The sequence below is a fragment of the Homo sapiens genome, chromosome 6 (assembly GCF_000001405.40).
Source record: "Homo sapiens chromosome 6, GRCh38.p14 Primary Assembly".
Lineage (NCBI taxonomy): Eukaryota > Metazoa > Chordata > Mammalia > Primates > Hominidae > Homo > Homo sapiens.
The window spans coordinates 128122989-128148669 of NC_000006.12; the positions used below are offsets into that span (position 1 = coordinate 128122989).

The 25681-nt window shown below is 35.7% G+C and overlaps 1 protein-coding gene and 1 long non-coding RNA gene across 7 annotated transcripts in view, besides 1 other annotated feature; both read right to left on the minus strand.

Moving 5' to 3' along the window:
• Positions 1-25681, minus strand: part of PTPRK (protein tyrosine phosphatase receptor type K) — a 551815-nt gene that overhangs the window by 154204 nt on the left and 371930 nt on the right. The window lies entirely within an intron of this gene.
• LOC124900216 (uncharacterized) overlaps positions 1-25681 on the minus strand; it is a 61437-nt gene continuing 35756 nt past the window's right edge. Inside the window, exon 2 of the long non-coding RNA XR_007059752.1 lies at positions 1-25681. This exon is cut by the window's right edge and continues 30268 nt beyond it. This is a non-coding gene — a long non-coding RNA (uncharacterized LOC124900216).
• Positions 2690-2888: a silencer, noted in NCBI's record as "fragment chr6:128446823-128447021 (GRCh37/hg19 assembly coordinates)". NCBI's record gives its function as "represses an EF-1alpha promoter that drives an FKBP-Casp9 reporter gene in an ReSE screen in phorbol 12-myristate 13-acetate-treated (for megakaryocytic differentiation) K562 erythroleukemia cells {active_cell/tissue: K562(+PMA)}" and the evidence as "EXISTENCE:reporter gene assay evidence [ECO:0000049][PMID:32094911]".

Here is a 25681-nt window from a genome sequence, read left to right on the forward strand (position 1 = left end):
TTCAGAATGGAACTTTATTTGGAATAAGGCTCTTTGCAGAGGTAATTAAGGATCTTAAGATCATATTAGATTTGGGTGGGCCCTAAATTCAATGATGAATATCCTTTTAAGAATCTGAAAAGGAGAAAACAGAAACATAGGAAAGATGAACATGAGAAGATGAAAGCAGAGATTGGAGTGATGCATCTGGAAGCCCAAAAATGCTAAGGAAAGCCAGGAGTCACCAGAGGCTGAAAAAGGCAAGGGAGCATTGTCCCTAGAAACTTCAGAGAGAGCATGGCACTGCAGACACATTGATTTTTGAGCTTCTGGTCTCCAGAACTTTGATAGAACAAGCTTAGGTTGTTTCAATTCACCCAGTTTGTGGTTCTTTGATAAACAGTTGTAGGAAACTAATACACAACTTAGGAGGAAATTTGTACTTTTTTTTTCTTTTAAAGGTCAGGCCTGCATGTACACAGGCTCTTGTAAAAATAAATTTTTAGAATAGTTATGCATTTACAGGAAATTTCCAAAGATAGTACAAAGTTCCCATATATCCATATAGCATTTCCTCTTACTAGCATTTTACATTAACATGGTATGTTTGTCAAAATTAATGAACCAATATTGGTACATTATTACTAACTAAACTCATTTTATTCAGACTTATTTAGATTTACTTAGTTTTTACTTAATGTCCTCTTTCTGTTCCAGGTTCCCAACCAAGAAAATTAATTACATCATATCTCCTTCATCTTCTAAGTTCTGTGAGTTTACCAGACTTCCCATGTTTATAGGACCTTAACAGTTTTAATACGAAATAGTCATTAGGTATTCTGCAGAATGTCCCTCCATTGGAATTTGTCTGAATTTTTTTTCATGATTATAAACTGAGTCTATGAGTTTTGGGGAGGGAAACCAGAGAGGTAAAGTGCCATTTACATCATACCACAGCAAGAGCGTATACTAACAACATGACTTATCACTGTGGATGCCGACCTTCACTACCTGGCTGAAGTAGTCTTTTAGAGCCCACCTAGATAGTTCCAAATAATCCCTTCATTAAAACTTGTTTTTTTTTTTTTTTCCTTGAGACAGAGTCTCAGTCTGTCACCCAGGCTGAAGTTCAGTGGCAACATCTCAGCTCACTGCAACCTCCGCCTCCCAGGTTCAAGCAATGCTCCTGTGTCAGCTTCCCCAGTAGCTGGGATTACAGGCATGCACCACCACAACAAGCTAATTTTTGTATTTTTAGTAGAGACAGGGTTTCGCCATGTTGACCAGGCTGGTCTCAAACACCTGATCTACCTCAGGTGACCCACCCACCACGGCCTCCCAAAGTGCTGGGATTACAGGCGTGAGCCACCATGAGAGGCCCTATTCATTAATTCTTAATCACACCTGTCCTTAGTCCTTAATCATATAAACATATCTGTTTAACACATTAGATATTACATAAGGTGATATTCACATTTCTGCCATGTAATGTAATCACATTATCTAGGAATTAGGATGTGGACACATCCTTTTGGGGGGTCATCAGTCAATCCACTACACCACAATTACAGTATCATTGTTTCATGGCCCTTAAAAAACTCTCAGTGCCTCACCTATTCAAACCTCTTCTCCTCCACAAACCTCAGGCAACCACTGATCCCTTTATCTTCTGGGATGGTTATTATTTTTTTTTTCTGTCAACTTAAAAGTTGTTTGTGGATGATATTAACATTTAATATATGCTTAATCATTTTGCCCTCCATAATGTGGGTAGGCCTTATCCAATCAGCTGGAGACCTGAATAGACAAAAAGACCAGCCTCCGGGAGGAAAAAAGAAATTCTCCAGCAGACTGCCTTCAGATTTTATCTGCAACATTTGCCCTTAAAAATTCATTTGCAACACTGGCTCCTCCATGAGTCATGAGCCTGCTGCCCTTTGAACTGAAACTGCACCATCAGCTCTCCTGAGTCTCCAGGCTGCCAGCCTTCTAACTAGAACTACCATTGACTCTCCTGTTCTCAAACCTGCTAAACTGCAGATTTTGGATTTACCAGCAGACATAATTTCATGAGCTGCTTTCTATAATTAATCCCTTTCTACAAATAGACACATTCTATTGTTTCAAATTTTCTGTACAATCCTAACTCATACATTGTCTCTATAGTTTTGCCTTTTAAAAAATGTCATGTAATTCTTCAGACTTGGTGATATAGCTTGAATCTGTGTCCCCACCCAAATCTCATGTTAAATGGTAATCCCCAATGTAGGAGGTGGGACCTGGTGGGAGGGGATTGGATCATGGTGGTGGTTTCTCAGGAATAGTTTAGCACCATACCCTGTGATACTGTCCTCATGATAGTGAGTTCTCATGAGATCTGGTTGTTTAAAAGTGTACAGCATCTTCCCCCATCCTGCTCCTGCTCCTGCCATGTAAGACACCTGCCTCCCTTTTGCCTTCTGCCATGATTGGAAACTTTCTGAGGCCTCCCCAAAAGCAGAAGCCACTATACTTCCAGTACAGCCTGTGGAACTGGGAGCCAATTAAACCTTTCTTTTGTTATAAATTACCCAGTCTTGAGTGTTTCTTTATAGCAATGCAAGAACAGACTAATACACTTGCCTTTGGGCTTTTCTTTTTTTTTTTTTTTTTTTTTTTTTTCGATGAAGTCTTGCTGTGTCCCTTAGGCTGGAGTGCAGTAGCTCAATCTTGGCTCACTGCAACCCCCGCCTCCCAGGTTCAAGCAATTCTTCTGCCTCGGCCTCCTGAGTAGCTGTGATTACAGGGATGCACCACCATACCTGGCTAATTTTTGTATTTTTAGTAGAGACAGGGTTTCACCATGCTGGCCAGGCTGGTCTCGAACCCCTGACCTCATGATCCACCCAGTTCGGCCTTCCAAAGTGCTGGGATTACAGGCCTGAGCCACTGTGCCCAGTCGCCTTTGGGGTTTTAAAAAATAGTTATATTATTTGAATCATACAATATTTAGCGTTTTCAGACTGACTCCTTTCACTGAGCAATATATATTTAAGACTCAAGCATGTTTATGTATAAAGTGATAGCTAATTTCTTTTTTTGCTATTTTAAGGCTTTTTTTTTTTAAAGTTCTGGGATACATGTGCAGAACATGCAGGTTTGTTACATAGGTATACATGTACCATGGTGGTTGGCTGCACCTATCAACCCGTCATCTAGGTTTTAAGCCCCGCATGCATTAGGTATTTGTCCTAATGCTCTCCCCTCCCTTGCCCCCAACTCTCTGACAGGCCCCAGCGTGTGATGTTCCCCTCCCTGTGTCCATGTGTTTTCATTGTTCATTTATGAGTGAGACAAGCAACAGCTCATTTCTTTTTATTCCTTTTTATTATTGAATAGTATTCCACTGTGTGCATATACCACCATTTCTTTATTCGTTTGCCTACCAAAGGGCATTTGGGTTGCTTCCAGTTTTTGGTGATTTTATATAAAGCTGCTTATACATATTTGTATGCAGGCTTTTCTGCAGAAATAAGTGTTTTTGTTTTTGTTTTTCTTGATATGGAGTCTCCCTCTGTGGCCTAGGCTAGAGTGCAGTGGCATGATCATGGCTCACTGCAGCCTCAACTGCCCGGGTGCAAGCGATCTTCCCACCTCAGCCTCCCAGGTAGCTGGAACCATATGTGTGCAGCTCCACACTTGGATAATTAAATAAAAAAATCTGGAGAGTCAGTGTCTCATTATATTGCCCAAGCTGGTCTCAAACTTCTGGGCTCAAGCAACGCTCCCATCTTGGCCTCCCAAAGTGCTGAGGTTATAGGGGTGACCCATGGCACTCAGCCCAGAAATAAGATTTTGAATCAATTAGGTAAGAATGTGATTGCTGGATAGTATCTTAAGACTATGCTTAATTTTGTATGAAATGTCAAAGTAACTGTACCAACTTGCATTGCCACTAGCAATAAATGAAAATTCCTGTTTGTGTCACATCCATGTTAGCAACTGGTACTTTCATTTTTTTTTTTTGGTGGATATTAGTCATTCTAATAGGTTTAGAGGGGTATGATGTTTTGCTAATTTGCAGTGTTGAAAAGACACTACTTTCTTCATTGGATCATCTTTGTGTCTTTGTTACAGAGCAGTAAACTATATTTGTATATGTCTATTCTGGGTTTTCTGATATATTTCATTGATCTATATGTCTAGTATTTCTCCAATACCACATTATCTTGACTACTGTAGCTTAACAGTTATTCCTGAAATTGGTTAACTGTAGTACTCCAACTTTTTGTTTTCCTTCTTCAGTACGACTATGTTTGCTATTATAGGTCTTTTGCCTTTCTACATAAACTTTAGAATTGGTTTATTGATTATCTACAAAATAGACACTGGGACTTAGATTGAGATTTTGTTGAATCTTAAGATCAAGTTAGGAAGAACTGACATCTTAACAATATTGAATCTTCTATTCCATGAACACAGAATATCTCTTCTTCATTTATTGTGTTTTTATTTCTTTCATCAGTGTTTTATAGTTTTCCCAATACAGACCCTATATGCACTGTATTAGCTTTATACCTAAACAATTACAACAGCGATGCAATGTCTTGTCCTGCTTATGACCTAGGATTTTATGTAGCTGAACAAGCTCACTTTCTTGATGCAAGGTCACAATGTTACCTGTAGGGAGAGTGTCTTTGATGAAACTAGAACTTGCCTTTTAGACGCAGCATGCAAACTAAAGGAAAAATGGCTATTTACAAACTCAATGTCTGACTAAGCAGAATATTGACATATCTGAGATTACTTCAAAATATTATCTTTCAATAATGATTGGTGTACTCCATCTAAACTAAACTCTTTGCCTGGTAAGCATGGTAAGCAGCAGTTAAATTTTCTTAATGACTCAGCATTAAAATAATTTCCAATTATTCCTCTTTCAAGCCTGTGGATCAGCTTACTAAGAGACTGTCCTGTGATTTCAAAATAAACTATTAATATACCCTTTTAAAATGATGTGTATTATTTATACTAATAAGGATTTTCCAGACACCATGAAACCAAAACAAAATGTAGAAATTAATGAGAAGTTAAGGCCAATATATGATGGCTGCTATCATCTAAAACCAATGAAGTTTAGTTTTTGCTTTTATCAAAATACTCTTTCACTTACTGGCTTATAAGGAAATTTTATAAAGTTTTAAGATAATTATATCTTTATAAAGTATTTATTGAACTTTCACACTAATTTCATTTTTTAAAGTAGCTTTCAATGTTAAAGAATCAGTAATACATGTAATACATGAGGATCAAAATCTGTAGTTTGCATAGCAAGTCAGACAAGGTGATCTCGAGTCATCTTTCCATCTTCTTTAGAATCTCACCCCACCCTCCCAGCCTCACTGCTTATACAAGCATAGGCACTGTGCTTCAGCTTGGAAGACCCTCTTCTTTTTCCTCATTGGTTTACCAAAACCACTCCTATCCAAATTGCCCTTCAAATGGACACAGGTACAGCCGTCAATTCTCTTCCCTTGATTCCCAGAACACTTTGAGTGAACATCATTTTGGCACATCATGACCAATTCATTGAGAGCAAAATCTGCACAATACTGTGCTTCTCAAAAGAGAGTACTTGTGTATTCACAGGAAAAAGGAGAAACCACAAGAAAACTCTGGTGAACCTCCTCTGGATTCTAAAGAGTTAAGGTAGAAATCACAATAACATGCCAGAAGAAAGAATACAGAATTCCAACAAAATTTTAAGATACAGTAAAAACTTTTGAAGGAATTTTTCTGTTGCAGATGAATAAATCAAGCTATACACTCAACTCTCAAGAGGCAGTCATTCTTTTCTAATGCTAGAGTTACTTGATAGGAAGGATACTTTTGTACGTTCACAAGCTAATATGAAGTACCAAAAAGATTCATTTGAAACAGATGATAAATGAGTGCTGCACAGAAATGACATGAACCAATACTTCAATGTACTGCAACAAGAATTCTTTCTATCAAAGATGTTACTAGTGCCCATTTTGAAAAGTAAGGCCTAAACAGGCCTATTGATTTCATCAGGACATATTTCCACTAATTGCACATACTGCTTATGTGAACCACGATTTGTACAGATAGAGATCTTGATGTATTCTAGGTCTTCTTTCTTGCTTTGAATATTATACAATTTGCCTTATCAATTATCTGTTTAAGTTGGCTTGTAATTCTGACTACATGTATTTCTTTTCATTCTGATTATTACACACTTAAGCTCAATAATCTCCTCAACTGATTTTTCAGTACCTCTCAGAGTAGGCCATCTCATCACTGCTATTCAAGAAAGAGGTAATATTCCAATGTTATTCATGTGTGGTGCATGTTTTCATTAATAATGTGGCTTGTCTGAAAAATAAAATTATTTCTTGCCTTATTGCTCCAGATTCTGCTGTTATTCCATGATAGTGCTAGACTTTTTTTCATTAGAACACCCATTAGCTTTGATCACCAGGAATTAAGTATTCACCTAAATTTCATTGATATTCTCAGGTTCTTTTTGTTACATTCATATTAGAAACATATTGCACACTACCTTCAACAACAACAACAGAATACTCAGTAAATGTCTGCTAAATAGAACTGAAGAGAATAAGAAATGCCATCACTTTTCTGAGATACAGGAGTCAAGCAAAAGTGAGGTGATATATCACTCCTAATAAAAACAGTGTGTACAGACGAATGTATAAACATAATGGCATATGCAACACATTTACAAGTTGAACATCATTACCTTCAGAACAATCTCAAACTAATAGTATTTAGAAAAAAAATTAAGGTATTGCATTTTATTAGGCATGTCCCTACTCCCATTTTGTATATACTTTATTGTCATTTCACAGCTAGATGTGTCATCATGTCAGTTGAGAACATTAATCTTGCTTAGGCTGAAAGGAAAAAATGCCATCCAAGGAAAGCAATGAAGCATTTCTCTATATCTTTTATGTTTAAAGGCTTTCTGAGTGTCATCAGATAATGTCACATTCAGACAATCATCTTGCCAGTTCTGAATGTACTACTCTGCTTGTATTGCTTGGCAAAAAGATAGAATAATACAGTTAGAGTTATGATATGGTATATTTTCTCTAAGTCATAGAATGTTTTCAGATGACAATACTGCAGACATTAAATAATTGCTTAAGTCTAAACAGTAAGGTGCCTTGATGTGGAATGTAATTTGTTCTAATTATTCTGGTTATAATTTTTCTATCTCACATTTTAAAGTTTCATTTCTTTACATAGCTAGAATATCAAATCTATTTCTGCAAACATTATATTTTCTCAAAGGATAGGCTCTCAATAATAACTCTTGCAATGAACAGAAAGCCTGCCTTTCTTCAAATCAAGAATACGAGACATACTTTGTTGCCCGGGCATATATGAAAGCCCTAAAAAAATACTCCAGTGTCTCATTCAGTGAATGGTCCCACTGAGTTACGAGCTAGAAATCTAGAAGCCTTGCTCACCTAACCCTATATTCCTCTCTTACTAAGTCCTAAAATTTTTTTCCTTTATCTTTTGAATCTGTACAGTCCACTATCTACACATTAATCCAAGGTAGTGAGATAAAAATAGTCATTATCGAGTGAAAGGGTTTCATTTAGGAAATGCTGGTTAAACAAACTAATCCTGATCACCGTAAGACTTGTGAGCCTTGAAAATGTTTTATTGTAACTCTCCAAGGCATATTTTGAAAATTCATTTGGCAATTACATTAAACACTCAGGGACTATTTGACCAGAAAATGGAATGGTTTTGGCATAGAAACGGAGAGATTTCACCTCTGATTTAGATACCCAAGGCTCTGAAAACAGACACATTAAGGAATAAGGAAGTACCGATATAAAAAAAAATTGAATAACTGAATTATAGTCTAAGAAATTTGGTCTGAATGTTGCAAAGTTCTGGGCTAGCTCCTCCACTCCAGAATTACATAATTTATTGTTGCATGAATGAGTATTGTTTGTCTTGTGTCTTATATTTTCCATCCATTTCATATCCTTATGGATTTACACATGTCTACTTTTTGCTCTACTTCTCAGACACCTTGTGCACCATTTTCTTTCTCTTTTCCATTTTAAGGAGAGAGAATTGAAAGGGGTGTGGTACATTGAAGAGAAAAATCAATTCCCAAGAAGCAGTAAAAAGCATAGCTGAAATAAAGGACTACAGATTGTGCAGGGACAGAGCTTTGAGCATTCTATTCATGCCATGGCTTTCTTTCAAAGTCACTGGAAGATAAAGAAGCAATTGTGACTTTGGAAATCTTCCACATACAAGCTGTGTGTTGCTTGAAAAACTACTTCTCTGGTAGCAAAAAACATGGGTGATCAGTTCCAGGAGCGGGGAGGGCTACACAAACCATGCCTGACTTAATAAAAATCTATGCGGAGCCACATCGGATGAACGACCACTATGAATGCTCTAGTCTGCATCTACTTGGGATGGTAGTGGTGGGGGATGGCAGGTGCATATTTGGAAACAGGTAGCCTATTAACTACTTTTCAACAGTAAAATTAGCTCTTTTCTGTTTCCAGGCATCTGAGCATCTCAGCATATAATAAAAATTCATCTCTCACTGCAGTTCTGGCTGAAAATCTTCCAGTGTCCCTCTGACCAGAAGTAAAATTAGGACGCCTGCAGAACAATATGCCCTCCTTCAAGTCAAGTACAGTTGTATCATTGTGCTTGTTTTAAATTAACGAGGCTCAGTTTTAAAAGGGGTATCTCCAAACCACCATCTCTCTGTTTATACGAAAGCATGAATAACTTTTCAAAGATTGTTTTTTCACTGTGTTTATTTAATGTCAAATTAGAGCCAATGAATGCTGTGATAATGTCTTGTAACATAAATTGAAAGTTGAAAAATGAGTCATCACTTTTTTGTTATTGTTCTTGGCTCTGATCTCTTTAAGAAAAATATCATACTGGTTAATAGTTTGTTTATAAACTATTTAAACAAATTAGTCCCATTGATGCACAAAAACTATGTCTTTAAAGGTCAAATCAATTTTTTGAGACAAATAATTACAAACTGCTTTGCTCCTAAAATTTCCACATTTGTACCTAAAGCTATGAAATAAAATGCTCAGTAAAATGAAATAAAATGAAATAAAAGCACACTAAAATACTATAAAAGACAAAAGGTCAAATAGTTACAGGCTGTGTGTTTTATTTTTTAATTTTAATTTTTATTTTTTGAGATGGAGTCTCACTGTCACCCAGGCTGGAGTGCAGTGGCGCGATCTTGGCTCACTGCAAACTCCGCCTGCCGGGTTCATGCCATTCTCCTGCCTCAGCCTCCTGAGTAGCTGGGACTACAGGCACCCGCCACCTCGCCCGGCTAATTTTTTGTATTTTTAGTAGAGATGGGGTTTCACCATTAGCCAGGATGGCCTTGATCTCCTGACCTCGTGATCCGCCCGCCTCGGCCTCCCAAAGTGCTGGGCTTATAGGCGTAAGCCACAGCGCCCAGCCCAGGCTGTGTGTTTTAAAAATGAAAACTAGTGCCATCAGTAATAGTCTCTTCCTCTGATTCTCCCTTTCCCCACCGGGGCCCACACTAGAGAACAGCAGTCATGTTGGGCTGTACTGTAAATCTTTCCTGTATTACGCTGATGACACCACTACTATGTGAACAAAACATAAGTGACATTAGTTAAATTTATGGCATACTTGACTTTCATTTAGCATGTGAATATCATACTCATAATATCCTCCACAAAATTATTCCCACCATACACAACCTGTGTTCTACATATGCTACTGCAAGTCTAATAGATAAAACGGCAAAAACTAATGGATATGACAAACCATCCTTCATGTCCTTTTATAATGCTTTGTTGCCCATATAAGATACAAAATTGTCCTGATTTTTTTCCATCAGCCCCATTTGAACATCTAGGTGTCAGCATCTTCCATTCTAGTTAGAGAACAACTTTCTACAGAAAGTCACTCAAAAATTACTGAGACTGACTCATATGAACACCTCAACTATAAAATGAAGTAGAACTGATACATTTCTAACAAAAACTCATTAGTCAAAAATTCCACCATAAAAAAGATACGTGCATGCTGACAATTTCTGCTCAGGGTATTTATACAGAAAGAGAATAATAACATCTATTTAAAACTGTATGTTGAAAAACAAACAGAAATTTGACATTTAATTTATAGTTTGATTTTTTCTTGTGTGATACTATATAACAATATTAGTTTAGACAAGATGAATAGAATGATGTGACTTATAAGATATAATCCTGACAACGGATATCTACGGTTTATTTCAGGTTTAAAATTTGTATTATTTTGATATCTAAAGTAAATATCAAAAAGAACACATTTTCATATATGACATATATAAATGATGAAATAAATTTGAGAATATAAGGAATCGGTATTTCTCATTTTTATGGACAAAATTTTAAAAGTAGTGTGCAGATATTTTAGATTTCATTTTTTACCTTGAAATATCCATATGAAGTGGTTACATTCAATTTAAGTTTACATGTTAATCATTTATGATCAAAATTACATCTGAGCTAATATTTTTAAATTTTTTGGAAGATAAGAAACATCAGGCTTATATTTTGATAAAACATATTTCACAAACCCAAAATTAAAATTGGATTTTTTGTGTGGTAGAAAACAGAAAAGCTACAAGCAAGCAAAAACCAAAAATACTTTCATAGCTATCTGAATGAAATAATAACTAAAGAAAGGCTTTTTTTTTTTTTTCCCCTGAGACAGGGTCTCGCTATGTTGCTCAGGCTGTTCTCGAACTCTTGGGCTCAAGTGATCTTCTCGTCTTGCCTTCCAACGTGCTAGGATTACAGGCATCAGCCACTACACCTAGCCTAAAGAAAGATTTTAAACAACAAGAAATACACTGATGTTGTGGGCCCTCACATATTTATGGCAACTCCTTATCTTTTATTTCCCCCAAATTTATAATAAGAATATAAAATTCCAATATTTTAAGAATCAAATTCTGCCCCTTGCAACCAAAGTGACAAAACAGTTTTGACAACCTATGAGCTTTTATTGGCCCTAAGTGGGTCTAATAATACTATTATTGCAATATCAAATAAATATATTTACCAATAATTAGCAATAAACTATATTTGTGAGGAAGGATATATTTCCATTTCCATAGTCAAATGCAACTATATAATACAAAACAAACATACTTATGTATTTATAGCTTTTCTTAGGACATGCGCATATTTAAAAATTATTCCTGAGTTTGAACTGCTCCTTGGTCTGTCTTATCTCTTGTCTCAGAGCCCGTATTTTTTGAATTCTACTGATGATATAAAAATGATCTTTTCTAGAGAGATTTGTTAAACATCTTGTTCTACTCTGCCTTGTGATAACTGTATTTTTCAAAACTTAAATTTCAGAACATTTTATAGTCACCTGTGATAGTTTTATGCGTCAGCTTGGCTAGGCTATGGTGCCCAGGGTTTGGTCAAATATTAGACTGGGTGTGCAGTGAAGGCATTTTGCAGATGTGATTAACACTTAAGCAGAGCCAGGCACAGTGGCTCACCATGTCTGTAATCCCAGCACTTAGGGAGGCCGAGGCAGGCTGACCACTTGAGCTCAGGGGTTCAAGACCAGCCTGGGCGATGTGACAAAATCCCATCTCTACAAAAAATACCAACATTAGCCAGGCATGGTGGTGCACACCTATAGTCCCAGCTATTCGAGAGGCTGAAGTGGGTGGAGTGCTTGAGCCCAAGAGGTCGAGGCTGCAGTGATTGTACCACTGCACTCCAGCCTGGGTGACAGAGTAAGACCCTATCTTAAAACCAACCAACAAATAAACAAATCAATCACTTAATCAGTAGACTTTGAGTTAACAGATTTCCCTCCATAACGTGGGTGAACCTCATCCAATAAGTTGAAGGCCTTAAGAGAAAAAGACAAAGGTCCCTAGTAGAGGAAGAAATCTGACTCTAGACTGCCTTCAGACTCAAGATTGCAACATCCACTATTGCAAGAATTTCCGGCACGCCCTGCAGATTTCAGACTTATCAGCTTTCACAATCTTGTGAACCAATTTAAAATTAATCATTCAATCACACACACACACACACACACACACACACACACACACTCTCCTAATAATTTAGTTCTATTTCTCTGGAGGACCCTAATATATCACCACATTTTGTTTTCTTCTCTATTTAGTCTTAGATAAGGCAAGGTCTAACCATGATTGATGTGTGCTCACAAAAAATATGTGGGGTTTCCTTTTTTCCACTCTCACTATTCCTTGAACTACTGTTGAACTATGTTTCTTGACCAGCTGGAGGACTGGTTGAAGGAGAGGGCTGGACCCAAGAGCAGTGGTGCTCTTCCCTGGTGGTTTGGTAAAGCCACTGTGCCATGGTCCACCTTTCACTTTGGCTCCCTTAGATATAAGGAGTTGTTGTGTCTAAGCAACTTTATGCTGCCTGTACAACAGAAATGTCTGTTCACTTTTGCCTTGTTATCACATGTATATGAAACTTGGGGATTCCCAGAACTGTTTTTCAATGTGGTTGAGATTCAGCCTAGGGAGTGAGCCTGAAAGGTGTATGGCCAGCCTGCTCCACTGCATTCTCATGCACTTTGCTCCATTCACTCTGTTTTAGAAACAAGGCCTTCTTAGCTAAATCCTGCACTAGGATATCCCTATGCCCTCTGAGCCTCAAAATGCTGCTAATTCCATATGCTGTTGATTTATAACAGTGAAGCTAAGTCTATGAGATGTGCACTGGGTTTACCCTGAATGCCACAATCACGTTTACATTTAGAGGTTGGCCATTGTGATCAAGTACTCAAAAAATAAAAAAAAATAAAAATAAAAATAATAAAAAAAAACAAGAAAAGAATAGCATCTGGTAGAGTTTTAAGAAGTCGTCAGATATACCAATGAATAAGATGTTATGAGCTGAACTGTGTCTCCCCAAAATTCGTACGTTGAAGCCGTAACCTAACTCCTAATACCTCTGAATGTGACTTCATTTGGAGATATTAAAGTTAAATGAGGTTTTTAGGGTGGGGTCCTATTCCAGTATCTCTGGTGTCCCATAAGAAGAGAAAGAGATATCTGGGATGTGAACACACTTAGGAAAGAACACTGTGAGGACACAGTGATAAAGTGGCCATCTGCAAGCCAAGGAGAGAGGCCTAAGAGGAACCAAACCTCCTGACACTTTGATTTCAGACTTGCAGCCTCCAGAACCATGGTGTTTAAGCCACCCAGTTTGTACTAATTTGTTATGGCATCCTAGGCAGACAAATACATATGGTATCAAAAAATGAAGAAATAAAACATCTGAGAAAAGCATTACATATAGGGATTAAGGTGCTTCCCTGAGCTGCGCTATTTACTGATCAAACACACATCCCATCTAAATTTTCGTGATCTAGGATCGGAATGTGTAAGGGAAGATGCATAATTCATTTAATAAAATGGCATCCTTAGGCTCTTACTTTTGATTCAAATATTTTTTTATGAAGTTGTATAAGGGTATATTTCTTCAACTTTAGCTTTTTAAAAAATGCCTTTTTGTTGCCTTCTCATGTGAAGACTTACTTAATCTGGTATAAAATTCTTGGCTAGGTACCTGTCTGCAAAACACTGTAGATGCAGTTGTATTTTCATTAGGATTTTACTGTTGTAGCATAATTCTGAAGTATTTTTATTGTTTTAAAACCACTATCTTATTTCTTTCTGTTTTTGTATTTGTGGACAAGGGTGGAGCTATACTTAACTTGGGTGATAGCCAACAAAGAAAATGCATTCTTCACTCTTTGGCCCACTTCATATGCCCTTCTGTAATGGCCGAATCCATTGCTCAGAGCTGGATGGCTAGTCCACGTACATGGTTTCTATCCAAACCCCAGAATCTATCCTCTAGGGATCTTCCACAGTTCTGAAGTGGACCTTATTGTTCTCCAATAGCCCAGTGCACTAAGTTCAGAACTGCTGGAATGTGTACAAAACTAGACACTGCTGCATAAACCACTACCCTAGCCTCTTCCTATCTGTTTTGCTTGTAGGGTTCCACTTGTGAGAGCTATACTCTGCAGGGGACAAAATATAACCATGTCCCCTCCTCCCTATTTCTCATTTAATTACTTTCTGAATACATACTAAAACAGATAGGTACTTGCAGAAGGGGTTTGCTTTGTTTGAAAAGCAAAATTTATACAATATATGAGTAGCTTCCAGTTCCCAGTTTAAAGAAACCTTTTATTTTGAGCCATGCAGCTTTTTACTTATTGCCTTAGGGCAAACTTAGCTCTATTTCCAAAAGTGTACATAGGTAAGCCACCAATTGCACTTGAAAATCTAGTTCCATCAATGGAGTGGGGGATAAGCATGTAGGATAAAATGGTAATAGTAACATACAGGAGGTGGGTACGCAAGTGTCCATTAGAAAATTATCTTAACTGCTATAGTTTTGAAATTTTATGTAACTAAATGTAGGAAAACAATTCCAGAATTCCTCTCAAATTCTGGCAGTAAGCGACAATCAGTCTATATTATCCATACTACGAACAGATATCTCTTTGTGTGTCTTCATAGTCAATTTACTGGAAATTTTTGGAAGGTTGTGTCCAGGGCTGCTAGCCAGACACCACTTAAAATAGAAATCTCAGTATACCTTTGCAGTAATACATAGTTATTTACTGAACCCAAACAGCATCCAAGATAGTCTTTTAGAAGTAATGGGAGGCTCATAATCTAATAAAGAATAGCCAAAGTAATTATACTAAATGTTCCCACTAGCTAAAATAATACAGTAATGCAAAATTTAGTAGGTCATATGAAACATTCCAGGCAGTAAAGGAAGAGCTTATATAGCTCTTATGAATTATTTCAAATAATGGCAAGTAATAATACAAATAAATAAATAAATGAAGCTCACCCCACAAAACTGGTATATCCCACATCAGGTATTTTTCTTGCCCATTTGAAATGTAAACATCCGGCACATATTTAGAAAGACACAGATATTTGACTTACAAAATATACAGCTTTATAAAAATAAAGACTTATTATTATCAAGGAAGGATGTGTATTTGGACCTGTGCCACATGACACTTCCTTAAAAGAGCTAATATATACCTGGTCCCGAAATTAAAGATGGAAATAATCCACGTGTTCTTGTTTAGATATTATGAAACAAAAGAGATACTGAACATGTATTTTCACTATAAATACTGGAGAATGGTCAGAATAATTTCATCATGCCTAGTAGAGATGGCTTTCTGGCCAGCCCCAGATGAATATAAAATAGTTTTACAAACCATATTATTAAGTTACAAATCTGATTATTTCCCTTTTTAATTATTTCCTGTCTCACAACGGGAAAAAATAGATGTGCAACCTGGCTTACTGAGCACTGATCAACAAGGATGGGGTAATCCTCTTGAACTCTGATTTATGTATGTGACAATTTCATTCCTTATTCAAGAAGGTCCAATGTTTCTGCTATACCTTAAAGATTATTGTCCTATGGACTTATCTAAACCTTCCTCTGAAAGTCTCCTTGGTGTGTTCACCACACTGATTTTTTTATTCTTATTTTTTAAAAACAGCTCTGATTTTTCTAATCTCTTCTTCAATTAAGTTAAATCACCCTCACTTGTCTTTATTCCTATTTAATTTGCTAATCAATTTCACTTTTTTATACAAAAACTATTTCTATCAATCATCTGGGACTTCAAGCAACTAGGTGTCCTGTCTTTACAGCATCAGCAATACTGAGCCTTTCACAGCCTCTGTTTAGTTTTCAGAGTGGCAGAATAGGAGATAAAGAGTCTTCTATTTGGGAAACTTAATGGACATGTTCTATAATCACTTGAGTGCTCTCTCTGCAGACAGCACTACTCATCATCAAACAAGTCACATGGGACATACAAAGGAAAATGACAAGGTCTATGCACCCCCAAGAGGGGTGAATAAAATGAAGTATGGTGTATAGGCAATTAAGGAATACACACAGTGGAATCTATCAGTGAAAGTTCAGAGTAGGGGAGAATAATGTGAGCTAAAGCAGCCTAGAGAAAAATAGCATGAAGTCAGAGGACAGCGAGGAATGAAAGAGAATATGTCTAGCAGGAGTTTATGATCTGGTCAGAAAACAGTGGGAGGCAAAATTAGATGGACAGAGAACAACAACATTATGGAGAACGAACAACATTATGGAGAACATTGGATGAAGAATTTGAACTTCCTGCAAGCAGTGGTAAACCTCTGCAGGTTCTGAGTACAGGAATCAAGAATGTTAAAAACAGTATTAAAAAAGTAGCTGCAATAGTCCATCTGTGAAGTGATGAGAGCCCGATAGGTAAAAGCTATCTCAGACATTTTAAGAATAAAATGTCACACACACAAAGTCACTAATATAAAATGAGTGAAATTTCATGAAACTATAGTTTAAAGGGCTCCTCTCTTCTTTTTGCTTAAAGGTACCCTACTGAGAACCTAGATACAAAAACAGGTTTTAACATGAACAAAGAAGTGTGAAACTTTGAGGAAGGTCTTTTGAATGATCAGAGTTCCTTTTAATTACAGTCAATGAAGTCAATAAATCTCTTTTCTCCTTTCCCCTTTTCTCTCCATCAATCTCTGCCTCTCTCTTTCTAACACTAATCTGAATGTACAAACATATCTAAATCCAGGTTGCCCTTCATTGCCAGTTTCTGATGAGTCATCTGGACTTCAGAATCAACATCCAGGAGCTCTGAGTAAATCACGCAGTACTGAAGAGTCCATGAGAATAGACTCTGTTCTACTTCTCCCAATCTAAATGCTGTCAGATACTAATAACTTGGTTTCAATTCTATACTTAACAGTGCCAAGGTTTTGCTTTTATTTCACTAGCAACATTTTTTTTTAATCCAAATCACTGGTGTTGATTAATTAAAAAGAAAATTGAGACACCAGAAAGCAGGGTGCCAACAAATGCTGGGAACACTCTTGGACTACTCAGACACTGTCATTCCATCTCCTCCTCTGCAATGGAGAAAGATGTTTTCCCATCTCCTGTATAAAATGCTATTGCACCCCTATCTTGCATCCAGATACACAAGTTGCAACATTGCTTCCAGACTCCTTAGCACTCACATTATTTAGAATTCATTCTATACCTGGCAACCTACATGAATAACATTTATGACAGCTGAACATGTTATTTTACATTACTCTGAAGAATAACCCTAAGCATAAGGCATTACTTACAGTCAGATCAACAAATTAAGGAGAATGTATTTAAAATCCTATAAGGGTAAAAGAGAATTTGTACAAGTGGCCTTTGAAAATTAAAAAAATATATAAACATTAATTTTTTCCTTTAATCTGAAGCATTACCTTTCAAATAAATACCTCAAGGAATGCTTTTTAGTAGTCAAATATCTCATAATAAATGTCAGGAGCTTGTCTACAACACCTCTACTTTACCAGGTCCATCCCTAGCTTGAATTGTTATAGTGTCTTTAGTTCCCTGATTCTTGCAACAAAATTGATTTGAATACATTGACTACTGATCTGTACGTAGGTAATTTCCCAAAAATTTATAGAAAAATTTTTTTTCAAGAAAGAGTGAATTATTTGAACTACTGGATTTATGCTCAGAATTATCATCATCATTGTCGTCATCAGGATGTCCATTTTACAGATAAACATTTTCAGAAGAAAAGGCCAGATCAAAATAAAGAAGGTAGATATAAGCAGTTGACTTTTCAGACTTAATTTTTCCTCAGTTTTCACACTAGACAATACTTTTAAATTCACACAAAGGCTTAGTTTTCATTTTAAATAAATAGTTTTTTATTGGTAGGAATGATCTAATATCCCTTAAATGTGGAGGATTCATTATCCAAAGATGAAGGAGGACTACAGTATTTTGCTTTTACACAAAAGTAGAAGACTTTGTTCAGTACCATGTATAAGGGAGAATTATTTCTATGGCTTCAAGACTATCTCTGTATCCCTCTTTTCTTCTAGTAAACCTAATAACTTGCACCTTTACACATAATGAATTTTGACTACCTATTAAACACAACTTGATTTCTTCATTGGTGAGAAAAATTTATGCACAGGAAGAGTTGATTCTTGATGGAACTAAAGTACAAAGGAAGATCTGGATTATTTTATTTTGCTTGATATTTTATTAAATAGTGTTCAAAATTATTGTACTGTAAATGAAACCTTGAAAATGTATAACTAAAAATGTATTCTGCTATAGTAATACAAATTTCCTTAAAGGTCAGGGGAACAGTCTTGACCAAGAAACATAAAATTTCAGTACAAATTATTGACAAATAATAATATATTTTAACAAACACTAGAAAAAATATATATTATAGATTAACACGGAACGAATCATTATATCTTTACCTTCATAAAAGTTACAAAGAACATTGTGAAATAAGCTCTTCTAAAAGACATAAATATGTGAGGAGATTTTAGAATACTTTAGTCATTCACATATAACTTGGAAAGAAAAACAAAAGCATAAACAAAACAAAACTCCTCACCTAAAATCCTGTTGAGATTTGGAGTATGGAGTCCTCCAACAGCAAAAGCAATATAAAAAAAAAATGATCTGAGTGCAAACCTGAGGTATAGCATTTTGACTATCTTTTAAACAGCTTCATTATGTGTTAAAGCAACTGTTTTGAGCAGCTAGAGATGTATTAACTCAATTTTGATAGCAAGAGCATTTTATATTTATTTACTTTGTTTATAAAATTGTTCCATTTCCTCTTGGGCTTGGGTTTCTCAAACTGCCCTTTTTGACCCACTGGGATGAATTTAGCAATGTGTTCAATCCTCACATCATATAGAAGCCAGAAGAATATTTAAATTATTTTCTGGTTTTGCTTTCAATTTTATAAGACTGTTCGTTTTTAAACAGCAGATGGTACAATATATTGCCCCATCTAAATTAAGATAAATCTTTCTTCCTTCCAAATATCAAATTATTTCTGATAATCAACAACCAGCTCTCCTCTCTTACTCCTTAAACACATATTATACATTAATGTATATGTGCATTTAGTTATATATTCACTATGTGCATATACATACATATATGCATATGTCAAGTATATGCATATGTATGTGTATATATACATAGACCACATAGATACAATACAGCTATTGTAAATGACAATCTATGACCTTCCTTTCTCTAGTTATCACCCTAGAATCAGAGAGCAGAAGCCTTTCAGAACAAAGTCTCAACAAGCAACACAAATTTATTCATTTTTACTTAAAATTCAAATTGAGAGGCCTGCAAAGAAACTGATAAGCTGTCTGGTAGAGTATAAAGTCTACCACAGGCCATAAGATCTTGCACAGATAGATTAAGTGTAATGAAGTAAAGGGAATACATATCATCTAGGATGAAGAAATCCATCATAGCTTTCAGCTAGACAAGTCAAACATTGGAAGCACCGTATAGCATTCCATTGGAAGTTAAGAAAACAAATTCTCCCATGTGTGTGTGTGTGTGTAAAATATATGGGTATATATAAAATATATACATAATATATATATACACACACACACGTGTGGTTTTCACAGACATGTCTCCTCCAAATGCAAACATATTTCTTACAGATAAAAATTTAAAGCAAAAATGTGAAGTTTTTTAAATAAAGAAGTGGACTCAAGAAAATTAGAATGTGTAAAGAAAAAAATACCAGTAAGTCTTACATTTCAACAAAAATAAAGATTAATTTTAATAAGGAGTGACTGTCCTTCTATTCATGCAATGCCTTATCATCTAAGTATCCTGGTGTCATGCATATAAAATGCATTTCTACACACAAAAGAAAGCTTTGGTACTATCATATATAGGGCATGCTATATTTTAAACCAAAACCAAGTAGAGACAATTTGGTACATTGTTTCTTCACATAATTACAAATTATTGTAATATAACTAAGATATTTATGGCCTTTGATCTAAAATATTGACTTATTTCTCAAATACTCTTCAAAATTCATCCATGTTAAAGGAATTGAAATATTCAACAGTTTGTCTAAAATTGATTGGTCCTGAAACTTATAACACTTCTCCCCTTTCTCTTCTATAATGTAGATCTCTCCATAAATGCCTTCTTTTCACCTTCCAGGCAGAAGAGAGGCTAAAGGCAACAGCAAAAGATTGACATTGAACTACAAGATAGCAGACACTAATATAATAACTCAGCAACTCCCCACCCTTTCCATTCTCCCAGTACTTTGACTCATCCCACATATTCCTCTCCAAAGAAGTTCACCTCTCACCATATATAGAAAAGGAAGGGAACTATACATTCACTTAAGAAAAACACTTGAAAACCTTTGTAATTATCCGATTTGAAATGCTAAATATCATAATACATGAATGTTTTATTTCTGGTGGTAACTAATTTCATCTAAAACATGGTACTATAATAATACTACTGTGACCTGCATTAAGTCTGAAAATGAGGCTTTCTATTAGTGTTTTAGAATATTACCACAATGAGATGACTTCTTTTCCACCCCAGTCATTACCAATAATTGCACCATTTCCAAACACCAATTTGGGCATCCCTTTCACAGAGTTATTGCCCTTACCTTTCAGCTCATGGGCTCTAGTGCTCCCATTCAGGGATTCACTGGCCTCATTGGCACTTCTAGTCTGCTGGCCTTTCATTGGCCATCCCCTGTCCTCACTTCACTCTTTATCCAGCTTAGATTCCAAGTGAATCATTCTAATCTCATCCTTTTATAAACTCTCAGCTATTTTTTCCCCTCTTAATATTTTGCTGGAGAAACCCAAATCTGAGTTAAATTTTATCCTCTGCCTACTCTGCACTTGTAATAAAACAGCTGAAAGTGGCTGGATTTAACAACAATGACAAACGTATAACTATAATGACTAGTTCACATTCAATTTTTGACTACAAACCTGAGGTGTGTGCTCCCCACAGTCAGGAAACTCTACTTCCTTGAACTATTTACTCTATTTTATATCTCCTCTCTTAATTACTTTTCATCCCATTCTCACTTTTAGCAGCCCAGCTTGATTCTTTTTGCATTCAGAAGAGAATATCCTCATTGTCCCACCACAGCTAAGTGAACCAAGGTCTTCTCTTTCCTAACTCACCCAGGTGGCCCTCTTCCCTTCCTCAAACATGATGCTTCTCAGATTATCTATAGTGAAGGACAAGCCCCTTCCCTGAATTGAGTGTGAGCCTAAACTTTTGTAAAATACAATAAAAATAACTTACCAAATAATGAAATAAAAAAGACATGCAACTCATATCAATTGCCAGTTCAATGTATTCAAATATTACATTACATTGCTTTAAATCTTGTTGTATATTTGTAATAAATGATCAACATGGTGAGCACACTTCGAGTTGCCTTGCCCTACTGCATCAAATATTGCCCATGGCAGGTCTAATGCATGTTGTTTACTCTGCTGGAACATTCCTCCCCCAGAGAGTCACATGGCTTCTTTCTTATCTTTTTCACTTCAGTAATCACCTCAGAGAGGACTGATGTTTCTGACCACTTTATCTTCTTTCTCAAAACAAGATCTTGCCATCATTTTCCATTCCCTCACCTAGCACTGTTTTTTTCAATAGCACTTAAAATTCACATGGCATTCTTATATAATTATTGTGTAGTGCTTGTTCTCCAATATACAATTCTGTGAAGACAAGGACTTTGTTTACTACTGAGTTCTCAGTATTTAAATTATACTTGCCACAAAGTAGGTATTTAATAGTACTGAATAAATGCATATATTGCACCAAAAATATAACCAAAGATAACTAGAATGTTATCATCACAGGTTTCTGGAGAACTGCAAAAGGTTTCTATAGTTTCATAAATATCCATGTGTGGATTTTGTCACAATAACATATGTTCAATGCTTCTCTACCATGTGACCCAAAATTAGGGAGGAAATCAACAACAAATCTCTCTCAGGAAGGGCAATACTGTGGTGACAGTAAATTTTAACTGTCAGATGTGGTGTTTAAAACAAAGTTGACTTTCCAACAGCTACACAATAACAAGATTTTTCAATTGTTTTAGGCTGCTTAGGGGAAAATCAATCAGAATAAGCTTTTAGACAGAAGAAACTCCTAATGAAATGAAGGCATAAACAATTAAAAGGCACTGCCTTTCAAGAAAGCTAGAGGTGAATTTGTAATACTACTGTTCCTTAAAAATTTGTTAAGAGGGTAGTTCTTGTGTTCCTATCACACGCACACACACACAGACACACACGTAATAATAATAATAATAATGTAGATGGTGAGAGAAAACTTGTGGAGCTGATGGAGAGATTTATGGTATAGATTGTGGTGATGGGTACATGAGTATATTCTTATGTCCAAACTCATAAAGTTGTGTATATTAAAATGTACAGCTTTTACATGTCAATCTTGCTTCAATAATGTGGTTTAATAAAGACATTAATGCTCCTTCATTTACAAAGGGATCTGAGTTTATTTTAATTTATTTCAAAACTGAATTATTGTGTACTCCCCCATGAAAAAATAAATATATATAGGTGAAATTCAGAATATGAAGAAAACAAATTGAAGAAATAATTGAGTCCTTATTCTTGAGATTTAAAAACAACAGTGCCAAGTGTATTGTTTTGAGGAGTTAAAAATGATCAAAAAAGATTACTTACTAAAAAAATTAACCATAAGCTTTTTCAGATTATATTTATGCCTTGAATATTTTCTATTACATTAGGTATAATGTGTATTCTATTATCTTACAACATACGTATCTTACAGTTAGCATATTAAGAAGTCATTTCTATCTTAAAAAATGATTTTTAACTATCTCACTGAAAGTTATTAACTGATTTTTATCAAATTACTATAATGTGGGCACCCATTACTTCATGTTCCCAGGACTCCAAGTCTCTGCTTAGGGAACAGCAGCTATATTCTGGAAAATGCTTCTTCCTCCATTTGGTTTGATGGCAGCTCCATCTTTCTCTGTACAAATGCAATCTCACTTACATCTGGGTCAGGTGTAGTACCCTAGACAGCTAAGTGGGGTTGAAGGGTCTAGAAGCAGCCCTTTCCCTAGATAAGCCAAATCAGGGCCTTCCAGCAGATCCAGGGTTAGTGGTTCAATCCCTTTCTGGCAGTGGCACTGCAGGATGGGAGAGAAAAAGGCTAGTGACATTGATATTTGACTACAAAGGGGCATGAAGGAATATTTTTTGGGGTAATAAAAATGTTCTGTATTTATGAAAACTCATTTATACTAACATGATCAATTTTACTTTATATATTTCAATAAACCTGATTTTAAAATTCAAAACTCCAATGTACTTCTTTACCTAATTTGTTGCTTGTTGGTATTGTATTTTACCATACTGTTTGTGTGTGTGTTTATGTGTGTGTGTGTTTATGTGTGTGTGTGTGTGTGTGTGTGTGTGTGTGTGTTTTGTGATGGAGTCTCGCTCTGTCACCAGGCTGGAGTGCTGTGGCATGATCTTGGTTCACTGCAACCTCTGCCTCCTGGGTTCAAGCGATTCTCCTGCCTCAGCCTTCCGAGTAGCTGGGATTTCAGGCACACACCACCACGCCCAGCTAATTTTTGTAGTTTTAGTAGACATGGGGTTTCACCATGTTTGATTTCCTGACCTCGTGATCCGCCCACCTCAACCTCCCAAAGTGCTGGGATTACAGGCATGAGCCACCGTGCCCAGCCTACGATACTGTTTTAAAACTGTTTATATATATATACATACCAATTTGGCAAAACTTTATTATTTGCATTCTAATCTGCAAATATCACATAAGACACCATGTCAAGGTACAAAATTAATACTTTAAAATCATTCTGTGGAGCAGTGTATAATACTCAACAATTTCACATCTTGTTTGCAAAATCTGTAAGTATCATATAATTGCTTCACTTAGAAACATGTTTTAATATAAATGAATAGTCTGTAAAACAGACACTGGAGAACTAAAGTGGGAACATTTCTCTTATTCCAATCTAATTAGCTCATTCTTCTACCTCAGTTTGCTCTCCTGTTATCTTCTGAGATATTGTCTTTGTACAAAATGAATATTGCATTCATTTCTAACTGTGTTCTAAGTAGTAAATATTATTAGTTACCATATATAAATGCATGCTGTATAGTATGTGAAATTTATACAGAGATTATATGAACAGATATTGGAAACATTTATGAATAAAGATGACAATATTTAGAAATGTTTAAATATTCTGGTAAAATAATAATCTGCTTAAAGCTAAATAGCTACAATAACATTTTACAGAGTTTTTTTAACTTGGAATTAGAAGATACCAGGAGCATTTTATGGTTTCAGAAAAACTATTAATCATCCTTTGGTACTAAATAGCAAAACTTTAATTCTTCTTTCAGGATAGACCATCAGATTTTCATATTCAAACTCATTCATCAGTGTCTCTCTTCCATGGATGTAGCTATTTCCAAATATTTATACATTTTTTACCCTTAAAATTGTAAAATAGAAAAAAAATCATTAAAAATAAGAATCAAACCATATAAATAAAATGCATCCAATAAGTAAATCTCAGTGTTTTCAATACTCATACAGAGACTTCTTCCTATCAGCAGCATGTCATTGATGTGAGGGTTGGCCACAGATTGCTGCAAATGTTTTTAAAACTCTATCACACAAGTACATATGAGGATACCCTGGCTCAACAATAGATCATACGAAAACAACACAGGATAAAACAAAACAATAAAAACTGAGAAGTGAGGAAGTGCTCTGCAAAATAAAGTATCTGATGGACCAAAAATGATTAATATAAGTTTACAAGTGTCTCCTTTCCTTCTCTCCAACCAATAAAGCAAAGGCTTTTCTGCCTGCTCTATTTTCTCCCCTGTTTCAGTAATCTTAAAATGTACAGATTCTTTCTTATTGTGGAGAAGGTTAAAAGGTAAATTTGTATGATAGTAATGTGATGGAGAAAAAAAAACCACAGAAGAATTTGAGTTGACTGCTAAACTTGAGCTAAGATAAGGCTGCCAAGAATATAATCTTAGTGACCAGAAAAAGGGAGGTGAAAAACAATCACAGCCCATATTTGGTTGAACCACAGCATGTGAAGTTCACTTGTCTATGTCATATATTAAGAGGGGCACTGATGAACTTATTTGAATGATGAGTATGTGCTGGCCATCATGGTAGAAGAATCAGAGTTTTGCTATTTGGTACCAGAAGGATGAGGAGAATACATTTTACTTAAGTAGGTAGATGCTGCCTAAAAATAAAAAGGGTTGCTTTGTGAGGTAGAGAATTCCTGATTATTGGAATTTTAAAATATTCATTGAAAAATGTACTTAGCATATATTATGTAAAATGCTATGCAAAGCATTATGAAATTCCAGATAGTAATAATAATAATATATACTTCTTCCCTCAAAGAATGTCTACTACAGCATGAATTTGGAAGGTATAAGTAATGGCTGGGTTGGGATTATTGTAGAAGGTGATCCTCTTTTGACAGGAAAAGGACAGAAATGTTCCTCTATAATCCCTTCCAATTCAGACAGTTAATGCTGATCATTAGCATTTTATTATTCCTTTCCTGAAGAGACTTGATATTCCTTAACAGGTTACAGATATACTATTAGCATTTCTTCAATATA